The sequence below is a fragment of the Homo sapiens genome, chromosome 5 (genome assembly GCF_000001405.40).
Source record: "Homo sapiens chromosome 5, GRCh38.p14 Primary Assembly".
Classification (NCBI taxonomy): domain Eukaryota; kingdom Metazoa; phylum Chordata; class Mammalia; order Primates; family Hominidae; genus Homo; species Homo sapiens.
In genome coordinates, this window is record NC_000005.10 from 173,723,466 (window position 1) to 173,747,137 (window position 23,672).

Here is a 23,672-nt window from a genome sequence, read left to right on the forward strand (position 1 = left end):
GCAGGAGAATAGTGTGAACCCGGGAGGCGGAGCTTGCAGTGAGCCGAGATGGCGCCACTGCACTCTAGCCTGGGCAAGAGAGAGAGACTCTGTCTCAAATAATAATAATAATAATAATAATAATAATCATCATCATCATCATCATCATAGCACCTACTATTACTGGGCACCTTCTAGTATCTTCTCTCTTTTAATGCTCACAAGTTTATAGAAAGAAGCCATTATAATCCTTCTTGTTTTCAGATAAGGAAACTGAGTCAAAGAGAAGGTAAATGATTTGTCTAGCATCACACACCATAGGTAACAGGGCTGGGACTGTTGCCCAAGCATCCTGATTCTAGATCTTGCACCTCAGCCATGGCTCCGGACTGCCTCTGTGCTCTGGGGGCATGGATAATGAGCCATATAGATGCCACAGGGACTGAGTGGCCCCAGGATGGTTGGTTTCCCAAGTCAAGGAAGTTAGGAAGGTGATGCCTGTTTGAGATGATTTAAAGGTCCTGTGGCAGACTGTCTCAACTCTCAAATTTCTCTCTGATAATTAGTTATCTCTTGGTTTTTAAGTTGAACATCTTACACATTCTATCACCAGGGAGAAACATTCCCCCTCCCTCAGTTCCCACTCAAAAATTCCTAGGGAAAGTACAACCTATTTCTAATTACAGAATACTTCTTACACCAGACATGTAAGTTTTATCCACACCAACAACCCATTTCCAATATTCTCATACCAACTGGATGTCCTACAATTTAACTCAATTCTGACAGTATCTACCTGGAGTTAGCATCAGATGCCACAAGTTAAGGGCTCAGTGCCACAAGACTGACCCCACTTCTGATGCCATTCACAAGTCCTGGGCCTCCTATAATTCTGACCAACTGGCTATACATCAGAGGTTCCATCCCCAGGTTTGATGATTTGCTACAATAGCGCACAGAACTCAGGAAGGCACTTTGCTTATTATTACCGGGTTACTATAAAGGGTACAACTCAGGAACAGCTGGAAGGAAGGCATATGTAGGACAAGGTAGGAGGGAAGGGGCACAGAGCTTTATGCCCTCTCCAGGTGCACCCCTTCCACCCAGTGTCCCCATGTGTTCACTGACCTGGAAGCTCTCTGAGCCCCATCATCCAGGGATTTTATGGAGGTTTCATTAGGTAGGCATGCTTGATTAAATTATTGACCAATGGTGATTAGCTCAGTCTCCAGCCTCTCTCCCCTTCCCCGAGGTTGGAAGGTGGGGCTGAAAGTTCCAACCCTCCAGTCCTGCCTTGGTCTTTCTGGTGACCAGCCCCATCCTGAGGCTCCTTAGAGATCCCAGCTCATTAGCATACAAAAAGATACTCTTACTGCTTTGGAGATTCCAAAGGTCTTAGAAGCTCATGTGTCAGGAACCAGGGACTAAGACTAAATATTATAACAAAAGATGCTCCTGTCACCCCTATCACTTGGAAAATTACAAGGGTTTTGGGAGCTCTGTGCCAGAAACTGAGGAGGAAGAACAAATGTGTGCATTTCTTATATGCCAGTATCACAGGAAGTCTCTGATTGGTCTGAATTGGACCAATCAAAACTGTCCTCGAGGTAGGAAATACCATGATTGGCTCAGTTTGTATTGGACCAATCAATAGTGATGAGGGAGCAGGATCATATGAGACATGGTGTCTTCAGCCAGAGGTAGTGTTTGGAGTGGGGGCAGAGTAAGTTCCAGGAAAAGGAAGTGATGCTGGGAAGACAGGGTCATGGTTATCAACTGCACCCAATCTTTGGGCCCAAATGTTGGAATTTTCTTCAGAGGTTTATTTGATCAGACCCACAAGGTGTTTCAGTTTCTAGAGACACTTATTAAAACTCAAAGAAGGCTGAGAAGATCCACACTGAAGTGGAAATTAGATGCCAAGGAGCAATCAGGCAGGAGAAAGAAATAATAGGAATCCAAATGGGAAAAGGGGAAGTCAGTCTATCTCTCTTTGCAGGCCATATGATTCTATAACTAGAAAACCCTAAAGACTCCAGCAAAAGGCTCCTGGAACTGTTAAATGAGTTCAGTAAAGTTTCAGAATATAAAATCTATGCACAAAAATCAGTAGCATTTCTATACACCAATAATGATCAAGCTCAGAGCCAAATCAAGAATGCAATAGCATTTATTTCACTTACAGTACACACACACACACACACACACACACATACAGACACACACACACACACTACCTGAGAATACAGCTAACCAAGGAGGTAAAATATCTCTACAAGGAGAACTACAAAACTGCTGAAAGAAATCACAGATAACACAGACAAATGGAAAAATATTCCATGTTCATAGATGGGAAGAATCAATGTCATTGAAATGGCCATTCTGCCCAAAGCAATCTACAGATTCAATGTTATTCCTATCAAACTACCAACATATTATTCACAGAATTAGAAAAAATCTATTCTAAAATTCATGTGAAACCAAAAAAGAGCTCAAATAGCCAAAGCCAAAACAATCCTAAGTGAAAAGAACAAAGCCAGGGACATCACATTATTTGACCTCAAACTATACTATAAAGCTACAGAAACTAAAACAGCATGGTACTGGTACAAAAACAGGCACATAGACCAGAAATAAAGCCTCACACCTACAGTCATCTGATCTTTGACAAAGCTGACAAAAATAAGCAATGGGGAAAGGACTTCCTATTCAATAAGTGATGCTGGGATAGCTGGCTAGCCATATGCAGGAGAATTAAACTGGATCCCTACCTTTCACCATATACAACAATTAACTCAGAGTAGATTAAAAATTTAAATGTTAGACCTCAAACTATAAGAACCCTAGAAACACTGGGCATAGTGGCTCACATCTGTAATCCTAGTACTTTGGAAGGCCAAGGCAGGAGGATCACTTGAGTTCAGGAGTTTGAGACCAACCTGGGCAACACAGGGAGACCCTGCCTCTATAAAAAAACCAAAAACTTAGCCAAGTGTGATGGTGCATGCCTGTGGTCCCAGCTACTCAGGAGGCTGAAGTGGAAGGATCATGAGCCTGGGAGGTAGATGTTGAAGTGAGCTGAGATTGCACCACTTCACTCCAGCCTGGAAGACAGAGTGAGACCGTCTCAAAAAAAAAAAAAAAAAAAAAAAAAGAATCCTAGAAAAAAACCTGGAAAACACCATTCTGGACATCAGCCTTGGGAAATAATTTATGATAATAAATTAATAATTTATTGCAACAAAAACAACAATTGACAAATGGAACCTAATTAACCTAAGGAGCTTCTGCACAGTAAAAGAAAGTATCAACAAAGTGAAGAGACAGCCTATAGAATGGGGGAAATACTTGCAAACTAGCCATTTGACAATGGGCTTAAACCATTCAACAAGCAAAAACCAAATATCAAAAAGTGGGCAAAAGACATGGACAGACATTTCCCATAAGAAGACATACAAGTGGCCGAAAAAAAAAAAAACTATGAAAAAATGCCGCACATCATTAATCATAAAAAAAAATGCAAATCAAAACTACAGCGAGTCACCATTTCACACCAGTCTGAAGGGCTATTACTAAAATGTCAAAAAACCACAGATACTGATGAGGCTGTGGTGCAAATGGAATGCTTGTACGCTGCTGGTAGGAACATAAGTTGGTTCAGCCACTGTAGAAAGCAGTTTGGAGATTTCTCAAAGAGCTTGAGACAGAATTACCATTTGACCCAGCAACTCCATTAGTGGGTAAATAGCCAAAGGAAAACAAATAGACCTACCAAAAAGGCACATGCACTCCCCTGTTCATCCCAGCGCTATTCACAATAGCAAAGACAAGAAATCAATCTAAGTGGCCATAAACAGTGGACTGGATAAAGAAAATATGTTACATCTATACCATGGAATACTATGCAGCCATAGAAAAGAACAAAATTATGTTCTCTGCAGCAACGTGGATGAAGCTGGAGGCCATTATTGTAGGCAAAATAACACAGGAGCAGAAAAACAAATACCACATGTTCTCACTTATAAGTGGGAGCTAAACATTGACTACTCATGGTCATAAAGATGGGAACACTATGCACTGGGGACTACTACAGTGGGGAGGGACGGAGAGGAGCAAGGGCTGAAAAACTAACTGTTGGGTATACTATGCTTAGTACCTGGGTGACAGGATCATTTGTACCCCCAACCTCAGCTTCACACAATATTCCCAGGTAACAAACTTGCACATGTACAACCTGAATCTAAAATAAAAGTCGAAAGAAAAAAAGAAAGACATTCGCTGCCAAGGATCTGACAGCAGAATCCTGTGGTAGTGGGATGAGACCCGGCGCCTGTGAGATGGCTTTGCAATTTGGCCCTGGGACCTGTCAATGCATCCATGAAACGGCTTGGGAGAAAACAGGCTTTGGAGCCAAGCAGAGCTAGATCAGATCTCCACATAGCTCTTCTAGGAGCTAGCTGTGTGGCCTTGGGCAAGTCACCTCACCTCTCCGAGCCCCTGTAAAACCAAGAGCTGAAAGCAGCAGGGCTGTTCCTAGGCCTTCCAATGAGGTCAGTTACCTTATCCACAGCTTCGAGTTGCTCATTAAACAGCTGCAGCTGGGTGTTTTCTTCACGTTAACCTGGTTGGTCCTTATCCTCTGGTGACCACTTCATGAATCCTGTGAGCTATCCCTAAGCAGAAAATGAGACCACATGTTCCTCTGGGGAAGCAACCATTCTGCTCTCCTGATCTCCCCTTTATCTTAGAGGCAGCAGGGTGAAGTCAAACAGGAATAAGCTTTGAAGTCAGGTGGAACTGGACTTGAATCCCACTTCCATTGCCAACTAGACATGTGACCATGGGGAAGTCACTTCTCTTCTCTCATCCGATCTGTAAAAGACAGATAGTTCTTCCCTTCAAAGCTGAGCATGAGAATTAAATGCAGTAACATGTGCAACTGCCTAACATACAGTGTCTGCTCAATCACTGATTTTGGAAAACCATACTGAGCACCTACTATTCATTCATTTACTCGGCAGGTATTTATGGAGCCCCTCCCATGTGCCAGGAATTCTCCTAGGTGAATTCCACATATAAAACAGACAGGCTGTCTCTCAGCCTGCAGCTCCCATTCTCGCATAGGGGATAGACGTAGACAACCAACTAATGGGTAAATAAACACCTGGTGTCAAGTAGGGACATGTTCTTTGAGGAAAAACAAAGGGTGTGGGGATAGTGAGTGAAAAGGTGGGTGTGTGGAGCAGAGGACGTGATGTGAGTTCAAATACTACATGTCGGTGTAGGAATTGCCAGGGATACAGACAGAGATGGAGCTCCTTCTTCTAGGAACTGGCATGCCAGGCAGAAAACAGTGTGGTTAGAACTGAAACGGAAGAGTGCAGCTCCAATCAGCGTGCGGGGTCTCTCCACAGGCCCATGGGCTTAGTGTATCCTGGCTCTGTCCGGAGCCCCTGTCCTCGCCTGGGAGGGAGCTAATGCTTATCACAATCCACGTGGGATCCAGAAATCCACTTAGCAGCATCCTTGTCCTCTGAATGCTCTAGGCACTTCCTTGGATGCTTGTGGATGAAGACAGTAACCTCCCCAGCCCACTCCCCATCCACCTGCCACTCCTACTCCGGGGTGCCCTGGGCGGAGGTGAGACCTCACGTTCAGGCAGTTCAGAGTCAGATCTCACTTGAATCCCCACTGGGCGCCTACTGGCTCTGTGACCTTGGGCAGGGCCCTCCAAGTGGCCGAGCCTCACATTCTTCACCTGTGAAACCGGGATAGGAATGGCACACATAGAGCACTTCAAAAACCCTTCTCCCAGGTCCAACCCTTGAGAGTTTCTACTCCCCTACCCTCCTCCTCTCCCTCCAATCGTGAGTTCCCAACCATGTAGCCTGGCCAGCAGGTCTGTGTTCCTCCTTAGCATTCCAGGAGCTGTTGAGGGCAGGAGTGGGCGTGGCATTCTCAGGCAAAAAACAAAACGTGGTCTTGGCTTTGTTATTCAGTTGTGTGACCTCGGACACTTCATGCCATCTCTGACCCTAACTTCCCCATCTGTCAGCCACATGGTATAATAACCCCTGCCTCCCGGGCAGGTGGTGAGGGTTATTGGAATGAATGCAGAGAAATTACTGGAAACATCTCAGATGTCTGATAAGTGGCAAGTGTTATCTTTCATTTTAGTCTTCCCTACTTGATCTCCAAATGAATCACATTTATTCAGCACTCACTGTGGAGCAGGCTTTACTTATATGATCCCATTTAACCTGCACAACAGTCCTGGCTGTTGGCATTTTCATGATCTGTTCTATATCTGAGCTAACTGGGCACACAGAGGTAAGGTAATTTGCTCCAAGCCCCCTAATTAGGAAGTGATGGGTTCAACATTCAGACCCCAGCATCTGTCTCCAGAGCCTATGATCTATCCACCGCAGTGCTCTCTGCCTCCCCTCTATCAAACCATCCTGATCATTGTTTTTCTGGGCATAATGACTGTTTGACCCCCAGAGCCTCTGCCATGAAAAGAAGAGGCATTGAAGGCCCAGAGGAGGAGCCTGGTCCTGCTCTGTGTCAATGCACTGCCAGAATTCTCTGCAGAGCTTTTGTCCTGACTGCTATGTCTGGCGCAGGGTGAGATTCTGAGTGAGGCCATCCCTGTCCTCAAGGAGCTCAGAGTCTAGTGGCAGAACAGCATAGGGTGGCTGAGCAGAGCCACGCAGGCTGTCAAGTCCAGCAGCCTGGATTGGAAACTCAGCTGTAGCACTTACCAGCTGTGGACATTTGGGTAAGTCTCTGAGCCTCAGTTTCCTCATCTGTCAAGTAGGGATGATAACACCAGTCCCTCCCGAGAGGGCTGTTAGAGTTAGGGCATACGCTCTGCCCCCAGGGAGTGACTGACAATAGTGTTTTAGAGCAGGAGAGGCCAGCATGCTCTTCCTTGCACACAGGTCAGGATGGGACACCTGCTATGACCAGACAGCTACCAACAGGCCAAGAGGTTTATTAAGCACCTATTAAGTGCCTCAGGGTTAGCAATTATAACCTCATCCGATCTTTGCAGTAACTGCGGGGTGGCAATTACTACCTACAAGTTGCAGATGAAAAGCTGCAGCTTAGGGAGGCGATCAACCAAGGTCACATGGTCACATGGTGGGGTACGCGGGAGCCCAGACTCAGTTTACTGCACCCCGTAGGCTCCTGAGCAGAGGAAGGGTCTCAAGGAAGAGCCTCTGCTGCTTGGTGGGGCCTTCCTGGCACTGCCGGTCAAGCCTCTTCTTTTCCCTCACTGGCTTCTTATCCTTTGCTTCCCAGGGGCGGTGCCCCAGGCATCCAGCGCAGGCCTCTCTGCTCTTCTCCTCGGAGAGCTCATCTGCCTCAGAGCTTCCGGGACCCTCCGCCCCCGCCACCGGCCTGCTTTATTTCAGGTGCCACGTTCCTCAGTGCACCCGGCCTATTCTTGCTCAGGTGCCCAGCAACTAAGTACAATCAAGCAGGGTCCCCATTAAGAATTGATCATTGTTTGTCAGAACCTTCTCATCTCTCCTGTCACCTGCTCCTGCTCATATTCCCCAGGGCCCAGCCTAGCTGCTGAGCTGACTGACTCTGCTTCCATCTCCTGCCCTCCCACACATCTGCAGTCAAGTCCAGCTGGTCCTAGCTACCACTGCACTAACATTCAGACCTTCAGCTCCCCACAGGCCCGTCACCTCACCCAGTCCAGCTGGGACCTGCCCCGGCCCACTCCATGCCTCAACCTGGTCTTACTTAAAGCTGTCTCCCACCCTGGCCGGCATTCCAGCATCTCCAGTATCTGATCATGAGATGATTCCTTACCAAATGCTGTTTCCGCTTGTGACTTTCCTTCTTTAAACACTGTGTTTCTTCCTGGCACTTACAGAAAACCTAACTTATCTTTCTCCTACTTCTTCAAAAAGTAGCTAATGAAAATCTGTTGTATTAATCAGGGCTCTCCAGAGAAATAGAGCTGATAGGGGGTGCATGTATTCGAAAGAGATTTGCCTTAAGGAATCGGCTCACGCAATTATGGGGCCTGGCAACTCCAGAATCTGCAGTGCAGATTGGCAACGTCTGGGGACATTTTTGGCTGTCACAATTCAGGGACTGCTAATGGCCTTTAGTGCGCAGGGACTGAGGATGCTGTAAACATTCTACAATGCACAGGACAGCCGCCCACAACAAAGAATGACCTGGCCCAAAATGTCCGCAGAGGTTGAGCAGAGCTGTTGCAGCAGATTCCCTGTTCCCAGGACCACACCTGCTGCTTGGACCCCTTCCCATGGCACAGTCCTGGCTTGGATTCTCAGCTCTGAAGTGGACAAGCTCTCCAACCCAAGGCAAAGTATATCACGTAGCCACACCTCCACCTTCAGCATCCAGAACCACAACATCTAGTATGGTAGCCACTGGCCACATGTGGCCATGGAGCACTTGAAATGTGCAAGTCCATTTTGAGAGGTGCTATCAAGGTAAAAGACACAGCAGATTTCTGAGACTTAGAAAGGAAAAGGAACATAAAACATCACAGTAGGCCGGGCGTGGTGGCTCACACCTGTAATCCCAGCACTTTGGGAGGCTAAGGCTGTTGGATCGCTTGAGCCCAGGAGTTTGAGACCAGCCTGGGCAATATGTTGAAACCCTGTCTCTACAAAAAATACAAAAATTAACTGGGTGTGGTGGCAGGCACCTATGGTCTTAGCTACTCAGGAGGCTGAGGTGGGAGGATCACCTGATCCTCATGTAGAGGCTACAGTAAGCTGAGATCGCACCACTGCACTCTAGCCTAGGTGACTGAGTAAGACCATGTCTCAAAAAAGAAAAAAATCACAGCAATCACTTTTATATTGATTCCATGTTGAAATAATATTTTGAATGCATTATATGAAATAAAATGTATGATTAAAGTTCATTGTACCTGTTTCTGCCTACTTTTATTAATGTGGATACTAGAGATGTTAAAATAATTATGTGGCTGACTCTACAGTGGTGAGGAGAGACCAGGCCCATCATGAGATGGGTGTGGGATAGATGTGGAATTACCTTCCTGTTGCCAGGCACATAGGGAATGCCCTTTGCATCTTCTGGGAATCTGAATTTTCTTTTCTTTTCTTTTCTTTTTTTTTTGAGATGGAGTTTCCCTCTTGTTGCCCAGGTTGGAGTGCAGTGGTGCAATCTTGGCTTACTGCAACCTCTGCCTCCAGAGTAGCTGGGATTACAGGCACGCACCACCACACCCAGCTAATTTTTGTATTTTTCGTAGACTGGGGTTTCAGCATGTTGGCCAGGCTGGTCTCAAACTCCTGACCTCAGGTGATCCACCCACCTCGGCTTCCCAAAGTGCTGGGATTACAGGCGTGAGCCACTGCGCCCAGCCTGAATTTTTTAAATCTGTGAAGCCCTCCTTCCCATGAAGCCCTCTCCGATCTGGGTTCCAGGGACTTTCATCTCACTGATAACCAGGTCCCGTCTGTCTTTTCATCTCCTTAGCTCCTCGTCCCAGCATCTGCACCAGAGCCTGAGAGGTCACAGTTGCTTATAGCATTTATGTGTAAAGGGAACAGTAGTTACTGTACTCTCTAACCCAACACGGGGAAGTGTAGCTAACGTTTCTTTCAGGCCTGAATTTGGGGTAGTCCTGTGCCTTTTTTCTGCATTCTTCGTTAATCAAGGAGGTAGGAAATTTGACCACCCTTCCTTATCAGCTCCCCACAGCTCCCTGGCATAATTTTCTGCTCATGGCTCTCACTTTGCAAACATGTTCGTTGTCATAGAAAATTCAGAGGTGAGTTGGAAGTTGGTGCTGCCTGGTTACCATGGCAATGCCAGCTGCTTCTGCCTCCACAGTGAGGCAAGAGTGGCCATGGAGCTGACCAGATGGAGTCGGAGCCTCTGAGAACAAAATATCTGGGGCCCATCCCAGTCTCCTCTAATGCCAACCTTCTCCTGGCCCTCAAGACTACCCTGTTTTCCCAGGGGTGCCATCCTGCAGCCAACCTGCTGGTACAATGGATGGAGCCCCCTCCGTGGAGGTGGAGGCCTGCGCTGCCCTTGCCAGCCACTCCTGAGGCAGTGGTGACCTGCTAGGTGACACTCAAAGTCACTAGTGAGTTGCTTCCTGTACCCGCCTTCAAGATGCTGGCCGAGAGCCCCACCCGGTGGGCCTGTGTTTCCTTAGTGACTGTCAGCAGAAATTTCCCATTGTGGAAAGAGCTATCTTGGAGCTAATGTAACAACGTCTTTTCTTATTTGTGGATGATGAAAGAAAATGACTCCCAGGGACCATGTTCCTGAAAAAGAGGAAAAGGTCAACAGCTTCAGCGTCTTCAGGGCCTTTGCCACTCCAGGCTGCATGCAGGTGGCGCATGGCGAGGTTGCTAAATGGCTGGTGTAGCACTTCAGGGGACACTTGGATCAGCTCGTTTGATCTTTACCAGCATCCTGTGAAATAGATAGGACCACTATGCCCACTTCATAAATGAGGAAGCTGAGGCTTGGCGAGGGCCAAGAAGGTGGTGCCAAGGCGGCACTGCTGGCAGGCGCCGGAGCCGGGCTTGGGAGGGAAGAAGCATCACGGCAGGGCCTGAGGTCTTACACGGCTCCACAGCTCTGCTGTGAACAAGTGTGAGGGTGGAGATCTTCCCCAATTTACATAAACTGAGGCTCTGGTGGCAAAGCCAGGATGTGACACCTGTTCTGTCGTGTCCCAGACTTTGCTCAGCTGTATCAGACACAGGGCTGTCCTGTTATGCGTGGGCATTTTGCAAGCAGGAAACCCCCTCCTGAGTTCCCAAGCACGGCCAAAACATGATACGAGGGGTCCCACAGGGTGGGGAGACCCAGATTCCAGCCAGAGCTTGGAGTGGAGGTCGTGACATGAGCGCGGAAGAGGCAGCTGCATCCACACACCCGGGCAGGCCCCGAGGTGAATCAGAAGAGAAGCAGGTGACGCTGAGAGGGGCTGAGAATGCTTACCCTGCTGTGGTGGCAGCTTTTTCTGTGCCATGAGGGCCCCAGCAGTTGCTCAAGGACTTTTGTCATAGCTCCTCGGCCCACACAGCTGCATCCAAGCCCCTGCCCACCGCAATCCCTTCCAAATAAGGACCCGAGGCCCAGCTGAAAAAGCATGGCTCTCTTCCCAAAGAACCACCTGGATGTTCTGGGGAGGCAGGTGTGTGGGGGAGAAGTTTTCCGAGGATTGTCAGAGGGAGGTGATCTGAGACATAGCCTGGCATGGGGGCCTAGAGGCGGTTCACTTCCCTAGGGATTTATACCCCAAAGAAACGCAAAGGTGCGCAAAGAAAGAAAGGTAAAGTCAGGAGCCCAAATTTGTACCCCTGATGTTCCCAGGTTACTCAGGTTTCTGATGTCACTCTGTGCTTTAATATCCAAAATGATGCCTCACGTTCCTGTCTCACTCACATATTTTTTTTGGTGGTGGGGGCGCGCACCTGGTTGGGCCACAGCCAAGCCTGTTTCTTCCTGTTCCTCATGGTCTCTCTCAGCTCCAGAATGGAACCGCCTCTTCCTTTATTTCCCCCGGGAAGAAAACAGGCTTTTAGTTTCCCTCACACCTTAGTCGGAAGCCCACGTCACCATTCTCAGGTGCATGAGCTTTGAGAAATTTGCTTCACTTCTGGGAGCCTCCATTTTCTCCTCTACGAAACAGCAAATTACACCTGTTTCTCCTGGCTGTTGGGGGATTACATGAGAGATGGAGGTAAAAGTCCCAGCTTAGCACCTGGTCCACGACCAGTATTCAGCCTGGTTCTCTCTCATCTCCCCTTCACCCTCTCCAGAGTCAGCACGTGTGTGGTCTGGAGACAGCTGAGCTGGTGGTCTCTCCCCAGGGCCCTCCTGCCGGCCTGGATGCTGACTGCCCCTCTTTGCCTCAGAGCCGTGAGCCATGAGCCGTGCCGGATTGCCCCAACCAGCCTGCGCTTCTCATTACAGAGCCGGCCTGTAATTAGACTGTCGCTTGGCTTTGGAGAATGTGCCTGTCAGCACCCCTGGCTCTTCTGCCTCTGCAGAGGCCCCTTTATTTGCTGGCGAGACCTCATCTCCGTGCACAGAGCCATCCTTGGAAATGAGGTGATGTCTGTTCTTCCTGTGACCCTCTTTCACTTGGGGTCAGCTGAGACAAGACCTGCAGGACATGGATGGATGGAGAGGCAGGTGACAGAACACAGACTTAGTCCCGGCAGGGAGGGCAAGGAAGGGATCCAGAAAGAGAACTCTGCAGCGTCTTCTGCTAGGCTGCCAGGCCACTGCACTGCAGATTCTGAAACAAGTTAGGTCTTCTTGGGGTTTCCTGACATAACTGTCCTCACCCTGACATCTCAGCCTGAGAGGGAGGAGTGAAGGATACAAGTGTCAGGCAGACCTGGCCTGAATCCTGGCTTTGCCTCTTACTAGCTGTGTGACCTTTGACAAGTGACTTCCCTGTTCTGGGCCTCAAATTCTCTACCTGTAAAAATGGCGCAAATGACACTTCAGAAGCTTGTTATGATGATTAAGTAGATGCAAAACACTTGGATACACTAATCACTCCAAATAATACATGATAGCTGTTATCTTCTTTTTTTTTTTTTTTTTGAGACGGAGTCTCGTTCTGTCGCCCAGGTGGGAGTGCTGTGGTGCGATCTCCGCTCACTGCAAGCTCCGCCTTCCGGGTTCACGCCATTCTCCTGCCTCAGCCTCCCGAGTAGCTGGGACTACAGGCGCCCGCCACTGCGCCCAGCTAATTTTTTGTATTTTTAGTAGAGACGGGGTTTCACCGTGGTCTCGATCTCCTGACCTCATGATCCGCCCGCCTCGGCCTCCCAAAGTGTTGGGATTACAGGCGTGAGCCACCGCGCCCAGCCCAGCTGTTACCTTCTTTAGCCGGGTTCCATCCTGTTTCCTTTCCAGCATTTGGCTGTGCTTTTGCCCATGCAGGTCCCTCTACCCAGAATATCAATATCCTGAATGATTTGTTTAGCAAACTCCTATTGATTCTCCAAGACCCAGCTCAAATGTCCCTTCCTCTGTGAAGCCTTCCCTGACTACCCGAGCAGCTGGTTACTTTGTCATCTGTACTCCAACATAATTTGCTTTTGCTTTTGATGCAATCCAGTCATTGCATGGTAACTATTGTAACTGTTCCCACTGCCCTCCGCCCTGCCCCCACACCCTGCACCGGCAATCCTTGATGTACCCTGAGCCCTTGGCTAGGCTGTGAGATCATGAAAGATAAGGCCTCTACTTGTTCTTCCTGGTAATTCACAGCGTGGATGTTTTGTGATTCTTGAGTTGAATGAATATATGACTGCTGGAAACAAATAAATGGACAAATGGATGATTATAGGGAACATTAAACACTGATATAAGAAAAGCACAGGTCCAAGGAAACTGTGCCCTTTTCCCCACATATTGCTTTATTCAAGCCCAGGCTGGGTTAAACGTTCAGGAATAAGGAAGGCTATATTCTGCCTAGAGAGAGACCACCTAGGATGGAGGATCATGGAAAGAAACTGGAGACAAAAAAGGAGGAATTCTAGACCCATCTGTCCCCCGGACCTGCTGAGCGACCTCAGGCCAGTCTCTTAGCCTCTCTCTGCTGCAGCACAGAAGGCTTCAGAAAGCCCCCACCCCTGGGGCTGGGGGAAGAAACCCACGGTCTGAAGAATGTAGAGGCCAAGCTAAGGTCAGTCACGGCTGACGCCCTTTCAGGAAGGCCCCACTCCTTGACCCATGACGGCAGAGACTGGTGACACCTGCCAGCCCCACCCTGGAGAAGGAAGGGCCTCAACCACAGTCACGGCTATGAGCTGGAATGTTTCCAAGAGAGGCCCCTGCGGAAGGAGCCAGGCACTGGCTGCTGGAGTGAGCATCAGTTGTAGATACAGGGTGTGCAGGTCTGGACCTGACCACACCCCAGCATCACAGAGGCCACTTGCTCCCAGTCCAAAGAGGCCTTCTATCACCTCCTAGCACACTCCAATTCTTCTGAACCGTGCAGGCTTTGTGCTCGCTTCTCCCCTGGGCTGGCCCTTTCTCCTCATTCTGGCCACATTGTAAGTCATCTCCTTAGGGACCTCCTTTAACCACCCCACCTAAATTGCCTCTCTCATTCCTGGTCTCTCTTCAGTCACTCTCTACTTCTCCGCCTGATTTTATTGACCTCCCAGCACTCACCCCACCCTGAACCATCTCATCTTCTTCTGTGTTTACTGCCTGACTCTCCTTTATACCCTCAGTTGTGAGTCAATGACCCGGTCTCTCTTAGTTAGGTTTATCCCCAAGTCTTAGCACAGAGCCTAGTACAGAGTGGGCCACAGGGGTTGAGTGAATGTTTGTTAAGTGAATGAGTGAGCTATGAATAAGTAAGTGGATGGATGGATGGATGGACGGATGGATGGATGAGTGGGCCAAACTCTCTGAACCTAAGTGGGAACAGGCCTCTGTGTGTGGTACCAGGCCAATAGGCTATGGGTTTTCTCACGTGCATCTCGACAGCTGGGTCTTGTGCTGAGACCTTGGAGCCCCTCCATGGGCTCTGGAGGGTCCAATTTTTGGCTGTACCCTCAGTTGCCAGCACAGGGCCAGAGTCGATGTCCAGAAACTGGGCATGCCTATGTCCAGTGAATGGACAGGGTCAAATTCCTGTAGCAGGAGCCATTGGGAAGTAGTTAAGAGCATGGCTCGGGAGTCAGGAGTTGATGACCTGGGTTCAAATCTCAGCTGTGACACTTTCTCACTCAGTAGACAGAGCACTTTTCTTACCCTCTCTGGGCCCCAATTTCCTTAGTACCAAACAGACTATATCGGTAGCTACCCCATGGGGATATTGTGAAGAGGGAGTGAGACAATGCATAGAAAGTGCTGGCACTCCATAAGGACTCAACACTAACATCAGAGCCCATGGCTCCAGCACCTGCTGAGGGTGCTGGCCCACCACAGCGGGCACCTGGTAGGTGCTTGTTAAGTGAGCAATGAACTCACATGAAAAGCGATGCCACCTTCAACCTCCCTCTCAGGCCATCCAGTGTCTTCTTCAGTTGAGACCCCTCCAACACCTCCCTTTACTGCTCCTGCATTGCCACCCTACGCTGAGCTATAGCTACATCCCGTCATGGTGTGCTGGAGAGAAGGGTGGGACCACTTTGATTTGGTTTTCTTGGTCAGATAGTTCATTTGGCAAGCATGGTCCTGTTGCCTACTCTGTGAGCAGTGTGAAGCTGAAATAAGGAACAGAATCCCAAAACATCAGGGATCATCATAGACTCTCCCAGTTGGGAGGAGACATTCAGGCTTTTCTCCTTCAAGAACGGGGAAACTGAGGCCTCCCTTGGGAAGCAGACTTGCAAGTTGATGGCAAAACTGGGACTCACTCCTTGATGCTTTGGCTTCCAGAGCTGCAGCCCTAAAGGGAGTGCTGCCCTCAGAAAGGAATCCTTTTTGTGTCCGGAGAAAAAGTCAGGTCATACTTGGAGAGTTTTAATTTGTTTAAAAGGGCTATGACTGGCCGGGCATGCTGGCTCACGCCTGTAATCCCAGCACTTTGGGAGGCCGAGGTGGGCGGATCACGAGGTCAAGAGATCGAGACCATCCTGGCCAACCTGGTGAAATTCCGTCTCTACTAAAACTACAAAACACAAACACACACACACACACATTAGCTGCATGCGCCTGTAGTCCCAGCTACTTGGGAGGCTGAGGCAGGAGAATCACTTGAACCCAGGAGGCGGAGGTTCAGTGAGCCGAGATTGCGCCACTGCACTCCATCTTGGTGACAGAGCAAGACTCTGTCTCAAAAAAAAAAAATGCTACAACCACCTCCCAGACAATCTTAAAAATGAAAACAAACAGAAACAAAAGCAAAAAGTCTCTGATTGGCATAAACAACAAAGAAGTGGTAAGCTGGGGACTGGCCGAGTCTGGTGTCCCCTCTCCTTCAGTTCCACCCTGCTGGGGTGCCGCCAGCACTGACCCCGACCCGAATCCCTCACCCCACAAGGCAGCAGTGGTTGTGGCATTGCAGCTACACATCTACACACCGTCTCTTCCAGGCTTTCCTAGAAGTCTCCAGTCAGCCTCCCTTGCATCTCCGTTGCCTAAATTGGGTCTCGTGCCCATTCCTAAGTCAGCCCTTGTGGTTCTTATTGGCAAGGACTGGGTTAACATATTTCTCCTTTCAACAAATATTTATTAAGTACCTGCTATAGGCAGCATAGCTATGAACAAAATAGAAGAAAGTTCTAAAAATTGACATATTAGAACTAGCAGGAGGATACAGACAAAAAACAAATGAGTAAAATATGCAATACTGTTAGATGTGATCAGTGCTAGGGAGAAAAATACAGCAGGGAAGGGAGAAGGCGAGTGCACGTTGGGGAAGTAGCCATGTTAACTAGAGTGGTCTAAGCAGAGACCGAGGGAGGTGAGGGAGTCAGTCATGAGGGCATCGAGGGGAAGGGCATTCCAGGCAGTGGCAACAGCAGTGCAAAGGCCCTGAGGCAGAAGTATGCTTGGTATGTTTCACAAACAACAAGGAAGCCAGATGACTAAAGCAGAATGAGGGAGGGGGATACTGTAGGAGAGGGGTCAGGGAGGTAAGTGGGGGCAGGAGCTATGGCCCTTGAGGCCGGGTCAGGGAGTAAGTGGGGGCAGGAGCTATGGCCCTTGAGGTCTGTGGTGAGGATTCTGGCTTCTACTTTGTTTATTGTAGTTGTTTTGTTTTTTGAGACGGAGTTTTGCTCTTGTCGCCCCGGCTGGAGTGCAGTAGCACCGTCTCAGCTCACTGCAACCTCCACCTCCCAGGTTCAAGTGATTCTCGTGCCTCAGCATCCTGAGTAGCTGGGATTACAGGTGCCTGCTACCTGCCCGGCTAATTTTTGTATTTTTAGTAGAGACAGGGTTTCACCATGTTGGCCAGGCTGGTCTCAAACTCCTGACCTCAGGTGACCTGTCCGTCTTGGCCCCCCAAAGTGCTGGGATTACAGGTGTGAACCACCACACCCGGCCTCTACTTCGACTTAGATAGGAGGCCCATGGAGGATTTTGAATGGAGAAATGTCCCAATCTCATTTAGGCTTTAAAACAGAGGTGTTTAATCTTGGCTGCGCAGTGGAATCACCTGGAGAGCTTTTAGAAAATACAGATGCCCGGGGCCCACCCACAGAGGTTCTGATGTCATCAGTCAGGGATAGGGCCTGGGAATCAGGATTTTTAAAAGACACAGGAGAGTCTATGTGCAGATGAGGTTGAGAGGCGTGGGTCTGTGTGCCGAGGACTCCCAAATCCTTATCTCTGACTCTCGACTCGTGACTCTCCCTTGATGTCCATATTTTGATGTCGGCTTCCAACTTAGGGTCTCCATTTGGATGTCAAATCATCATCATAATCGTCTCCAAATTAACTGAACCTCAATCTGATTTCTGACCCCTCCCCAAGCCTGCTCTTCCTGTGGTGTCCTCTGTCCAGTTCCTCAGGCCAAAACCTTAGTGTTATCCTCGGTTCCTCTGTTGCTTTAACACCTGACATCTGATTCTTTAGAAGACCATGCTCACCCTACCTTCAAACATACCCAGAAAGCACGGCTGCTCACACATCCACTGCCGCTACCCAAACCGAGGTCCTCCTGACCTCCAGGTCTTCTGCCCCTGCCTCCAGCGGCACTTCCCAAGCCTGGCTTCTGTGGATTCACGGGGGAGCTTTCAAAACTGTGGATGCTTGAGTCCTCAGAGTCTGATAGAACCGGTGGGGTGCAGTGGGGCACTGAGAATTTTACAAGCTCACCAAGTGGTTCCATCGTACAGCCAGAGTTGAGAACCTCTGATAAGGATGGGATTTAAATCGAAGGATCTGGCAGTGACGGCCTGGGGAGAGAATACAGCTACAGAAGCAAAGAGGTCAGAGACTGAGCACTGCCAGACTCTGCGACCTGCAGAGTCAGGGAATGAGGAGGAACCAGGAAGAGGCAACAAGGAGACAGACCCAATCACTGCTGCAGGGGTGGGAAGGACCCTTGACTAACCGAAGGCACTGCTTGAGCTAAGGTGGAAAAATCAGCTTCCCCAGGGCCCAGGGCAGCATGGAGGAAGAGAGAATGGATACCTGGATCAGCTTCTCCTGGGGAAAGGGAAGGAACAGGAGGGATGTTGGGTGGCCAAAAAATATATACTAAGCCAATAAACATGATGATGGTAATGAAAATAAAAATAATGCTGAGAGAGAGGGAGGGAGAGGGAGACAGGGAGACAGGGGGACAGGGGGACAGGGGGACAGGGGGACAGGGGGATAGGGGGACAGGGGGAGAGGGGGAGAGGGGGAGGAGGAGGAGGAAGGGGAGGAGGAGGAGGAGGGGGAGGGAGAAGGGGAGAGGGAGAGGGAGAGGGAGATCTTCCTCTTCTTATAAAGCCACAACTTGTACTGCATTAAAGCCCCACCCTTATGACCTTATTTAACCTCAGTGACCTCCTAAAAGCCCTAACTTTTGACCACACCTAACTGCAAGGGAGCCTAGAAGATGCAATTCAGCTGCGTGCTCAGGCAGACAAGGAGAGCATGGCCATTGCTGAAAGCAGTGCAAGAAGCAGGTGGGAGGGTACCCCAGATAGATGGATCATTGTGTGCCAAAGTCTGGAGGAATACTAACAAGGTGAACCGGGGCACCGCCACATGCTCAGCTGTCTGGCCCTGGGTGTAGGAGTGGGGAATGGTGGGAGGGAAGTGACTATGTTGGGCAACAAGATTCCCTGGCCCTTAATTAGCCAGGTGTGGTGCCCCGTGCCTGTGGTCCCAACTACTCAGGAAGCTGAGGTGGGAGGATGGCTTGAGCCCAGGAGGTCAAGGATGCAGTGAGCTGTGATTGCACCACTCCACTGCAACAGAGCTTGCTCCATTGGGCAACAGAGCAAGACCATGTCTCAAAAAAAATAAAAAAAATTAAAAAAAGGAAAAATTCCCTGGCTCTTAAAGAGGGTCACGGGCAGAACTCATGCTCAAGACCATCACTCAGGGGTAGCTTGGCTCACAGTTTCTTCCAACTTAGACAATTGAGTATTTCTTTGAACATATGATTTCAAAGGATTCTTTAAAACACTTTAACCATTCATTTATTAGTAGGGAACATACTCATATTGTTCCACATTTGAAAAGTGAAACGAGTCAATCATGACAAACCTCCCTTCCACCCTGTCTCTCAGGCACACACTCCTCCTCCTCCCTCAAGGCAGCCAATGCTTTCAGTTTCATGCGTCATCTTGCAGTGATGTTTTATGCAAATATAAATTTTATATATAATACATTCTTCCTTTTGTCCAGTTTTGCACTAATTGTAGCATGCTCAACATAGTATCCTGATCCGTATTTTTCTCTGAGATTTTTTTCATGGTGATATGTAAAGAGCCTTCTTGATGACAACGTAGAACTCCACTCTATGATTGTACCACCAGGATAGTCCCCTACTGATGGACAGTTAGGTTATTTCTAATTTATAAATAATCTTGTAATTAAGTTTGCATATATCACTTCATGCAGGGGTAGATCTATTTGCAGGATAAACTCATAGGAATAGAACTTCTGGGTGAAAGGGTTATACTATTCTAGCATAACTGGCTGTGAACCGCTGGGCCACTCCACATGTCCTTCTGTCTGAGTCCCTCCCTAGTCCCACCCAATGATGCAGACCTGGGCGACAGTTCTGAGAGGTGCTGAGCCCAGCCATGTGGCCCCTGGCATGGTTCCATGCCCCTTGGAATATGGCAGTGCCCAGAGTGTTCTCCTCAGATTCTTGGCTGGAGACGTCTCAGGGAGGCCATCCTGTGACCCCCATGCCCGTGGTCCCACATCAAGGATCATTGTTTCACTGCCGCTCTTCAACCACCAGCCCAGCCCCATTCCTACCCCCTCCTCCAGCTCTATGACTTCACCCCTCACTCCCAGAACAGAGGCAAAGCCCAACGAAGGCCAAGGCAGCACTGTGATAGCCAGAACAATGGCCCCTCCAAAGCCATCCATGTCCCAATCCACACAATCTGTGACTATGTTGCCTTACATAGCAAAAGAGACTTTAAGATATGAAGTCAAGGATCTCATGATGGAGAGATTATTCTGCATTATTTGGCTGAGCCCAGGGTAATCGCTAGGGTCCTTAAAAAATGGAGACGGGAGGCCGAAAGTGAGTCAGAGAGAGTCTGGAAGATGTTATGCTGCTGGCTTTGGAGTGGAGGGAAGGGTCGTGAACCAGGGTATATAGGTGGCTTCTAGAAACTGGGAAAAACAAAGCTATGGCTTCTCCCCTAAAGCCTCCAGGAGGAATGCAATCCTGCTGACACACTGGTTTTAGCCCAGTGAGACCTATTTTGGACTTCTGACCTTCAGAACTGGAAGGTAATAAATTTGTGTTGTTTTCAGCCACTAAGCTTATAGTAATCTTTTACAGCAGTAACAGGAGACTAATCCAACAGTCCCCGAACTGCCCCGCGTGGGAGTCCAGTGCTGCCTCTCTCCTGCCTCCCCTCTCTCAGAAGGCCTGGCTTCAAATCCTTGTTCTCCTTACCCACCGGGTGCTTTTGGGTACATGCAGCATTTCTTTGGGCCTCAGTTCTCTCATCTGCAAAACGCAGCACATGATCAAACTGTCACAAGGTTGCCGGGAGGTTAAATGAGATGATGCTTGTGAAGTCTCTTAGCAACTTTGCCTGCCATGAAATCGGTGCTTGATATTTTTAGATGTTGAGCATAATTCTGAAACTTTCAGTTGTCCTCCCAGAACCTACTCCTGCTCTGGCCCTGGCTAGGGCCCTAACTTCCCCTAAGGAGACAGCCCCTTCCTGCAGTGCTTACACCCAGCAGAGACCCTCAGGGAGGCAACTCTCTCCTTTCAACCGGCCCCAAGGAACCAGGGCCCTGAGGTGCTGTTCCCAGCAAAGAGGAAACTCAACCCAGGTTCAAATCCTTTTTTTTTTTTTTTCTGCCACTTCCCAGCTGGGTGGCATTGGGGGAGTTACTCCACCACTCCGAGCCTTGGTTTCCCCCTTTGTAGAATACCCACAGTGAGCCCTAGCCCAGGATGCTGGCCCAGGAGTGTGCTCATGGCTGGGCACGTAGCAGGTACTGGATAAACAGCTTCAGTGCACTGCCCTCTCAGCCAGGACCAGACCCCAGACTTGGTGGACCCTGGGGCTCATACAGTGTGTAGCGCCTCTTTAAGAAGGAGCCTCTGAACTTACAAACATACAATAGGGCTTCTGATGGGGCCTATGCCGGGGAGGCATCCTGAGGCCTGAATTCCATTCGCTTCTGCTTTCTGCTCTCAATCCCTCCTCCTCCGTAATGACCGGGCCAAACGTGTTTCAGAAACGTCCCTCCCAACTTGCCTGAATAAGCCCCAGGAGCCTGAGATTTTTACGAAATTGTCAGAGGCAGTGACCATCTTAGTCTCCCAGCAGGATCCAAGCTCCCTTGGTAAGTGAGCAAGACTTTTGATGGAACAAAAGCAAAATCTCTATCTGATGAGATTAGCTCCTTGGAAAAGAGCACACAGTTCATCTCTACCTTGCTTGGACAGTAGAGCTGCCAGATTAAAACAGCAACAACAACAGCTATATACATATGGATTCAATTTAATTTGAATTCCAGATAATGAATAATTCTTTAGTATAAGTATATACCAAATATTGCATGAGACATTTAACTGGATGTCCTGAATTTTATCTGGCAGCCCTGTCTGTCAGAGACACAGCAACATGGCTATTCAAATTCAGGATGTGTTTTGCAGAAGTGTTCCTGCTTTGAGAAGCAGCTGGGGGCCCTTGAACTTCAGCAGAATAACCAGTGGCAGAGGAAGGGATATGGGAAGCTGCCCCCGGGCAGGTTGGTGACGCTTTTAACAGCTGCACCCAGAGCCAGGTGGTCAGGGCCTGAACTGTAGCCTAAAATGAGCCTTGCAGCCACCCCCAGAGCAGGTGTTGGCACACCCATTTCTGCAGATGTGAAAGCCAGAGCGCAGCAAGAAAGGAACACCTTGTGAGCACCTACTATATGCTGGCATCTTACACGCATTAGCTCATAGCTAAGAGTGGGCAGATTTTGTAGCTGTTGCTATTAATGTAATGCAAGCATCAGAGAAGCATTATATGAAAAATAAGTCTTCTTCCCCACATTTGAGAGCGCTCAACCTCTTAAACCTCTCAGCGATTCCTCAGCCTCAGCACTATTGACATCTTGGGCCAAACTTTTTTCTTTTTTTTGTCGTGGGCTGACCTGTGCACTGTAGAATGTTTAGAAGCATTCCTGGCCTCTAGCCACTCAATGCCAGTGGCACCCCCCTCCCCGCCCCGTGACAACCAAGAAAATGACTCCAGACATTGCCAAATGTCCCGTAGGAGGCAAAAATCGCCCCTGCAAAACCACTGCTCTAGAATAATCACTGTTAATCATTTTGTGAAAGGGAAATAAATCTTGGGACCCCAAAATCACTAGGCCAAAGGGAAAAGTCAAGCTGGAAACCATGTTGGGCAAACCCACCACCCATTTCCTTCCTGAAGAAGATAGCTACAAAGATTTTTAAAAGCTACTTACCTTCCTCACAATTTTCCCACAAGGAAATTCCTTGTGGGCCTCAAGATCTTCACCCTAAATTAGTTCTGTTGAATTTCACCCTGGCAATGTAAACCAACAGCTGATCTTCACAGATGTGGGACAGAAAGTCATCCCTCTGCTCACCTGAAGCAAATGCCTATCCGATTGCTTCCTCTGCCCTATTGTTTATGTAAAAATGCTGATTCACTGAGCCAGACTAAGGCATAAGTGACTATTCTTCTACGCCCCCGCCCCCCACCACCGCATGTAAATTGTGTATTCAGTGAAAGGCTGATTAAAGACTCAAAAGAATGCGACTATTTGTCTCTTGTCTACCTATGACCTGGAAACCACCCCCTCCACCTTTCTGGACCAAACCAATGTACATCTTACACATATTGATTGATGTTTCATGTCTTCCTAAAACATATAAAAGCAAGCTGTATCTCAACTACCTTGGGGCCAAACAATTTTTGGCCTCAGGACCTCCTGAGGCTATGTCATGGGTGCGTCCTTAACCTTGGCAAAGTAAACTTTCTAAACTGATTAAGACTGTCTCAGATACTTTGGGTTCACACTTCCTTGAGAATATTTTTAGAATACTTCTAAGCACATGTGTATGCCTTTAAAAAACAAAACCAAACAACGACAACAAAAAGACAAGGCCAGGCTCAGTGGCTCACCCCTGTAATCCCAGCACTGTGGGATTACAGGATCTCTTTGAGCCCAGGAGTTTGAGACCCGCCTCAGCAACATGGTGAAACCCTATCTCTACTAAAAATACAAAAAACTAGTAAAGTGTGGTGGTAGACACCTGTAGTCCCAGCTGCTTGGGAGGATGACTTGAGCCTGGGAGGAGGAGGTTGCAGTGAACTGTGACTGAGCTACTGCACTCCAGCCTGGGTGACAGAGTGAGAGCTTGTCTCAAAAAAAAAGTTTTAAAGAGACAGGTTAATATATACACCTCTTTTATCACTTGCCTTTTTACTTATCAGTATACCTTGGACATCTTTCTGTACATCCCACTCATGAATCTGCATTTCTCCTTTGACAACTACGTGGCATTTCTTTGTGGGTATTGCTGCCATTGATGTAACCAGTTCCCTCACTACTGAGGC

General features: G+C 48.5%; 1 long non-coding RNA gene across 1 annotated transcript in view, besides 5 other annotated features; it reads right to left on the minus strand.

Moving 5' to 3' along the window:
- LINC01484 (long intergenic non-protein coding RNA 1484) overlaps window positions 1-22,744 on the minus strand; it is a 38,611-nt gene extending 15,867 nt beyond the window's left edge. The window contains exon 1 of the long non-coding RNA NR_108027.1: window positions 22,555-22,744. This is a non-coding gene — a long non-coding RNA (long intergenic non-protein coding RNA 1484). The remainder of the gene's footprint in view (window positions 1-22,554) is intronic.
- Window positions 10,474-10,583: an enhancer, noted in NCBI's record as "active region_23660". NCBI's record gives its function as "activates an Ori minimal core promoter by ATAC-STARR-seq in GM12878 lymphoblastoid cells {active_cell/tissue: GM12878}" and the evidence as "EXISTENCE:reporter gene assay evidence [ECO:0000049][PMID:35858748]".
- Window positions 11,014-11,073: a silencer, noted in NCBI's record as "silent region_16641". NCBI's record gives its function as "represses an Ori minimal core promoter by ATAC-STARR-seq in GM12878 lymphoblastoid cells {active_cell/tissue: GM12878}" and the evidence as "EXISTENCE:reporter gene assay evidence [ECO:0000049][PMID:35858748]".
- Window positions 13,671-13,830: an enhancer, noted in NCBI's record as "active region_23661". NCBI's record gives its function as "activates an Ori minimal core promoter by ATAC-STARR-seq in GM12878 lymphoblastoid cells {active_cell/tissue: GM12878}" and the evidence as "EXISTENCE:reporter gene assay evidence [ECO:0000049][PMID:35858748]".
- Window positions 20,517-20,566: an enhancer, noted in NCBI's record as "active region_23662". NCBI's record gives its function as "activates an Ori minimal core promoter by ATAC-STARR-seq in GM12878 lymphoblastoid cells {active_cell/tissue: GM12878}" and the evidence as "EXISTENCE:reporter gene assay evidence [ECO:0000049][PMID:35858748]".
- Window positions 20,697-20,866: an enhancer, noted in NCBI's record as "active region_23663". NCBI's record gives its function as "activates an Ori minimal core promoter by ATAC-STARR-seq in GM12878 lymphoblastoid cells {active_cell/tissue: GM12878}" and the evidence as "EXISTENCE:reporter gene assay evidence [ECO:0000049][PMID:35858748]".
- Window positions 22,745-23,672: the final 928 nt, after the last annotated feature.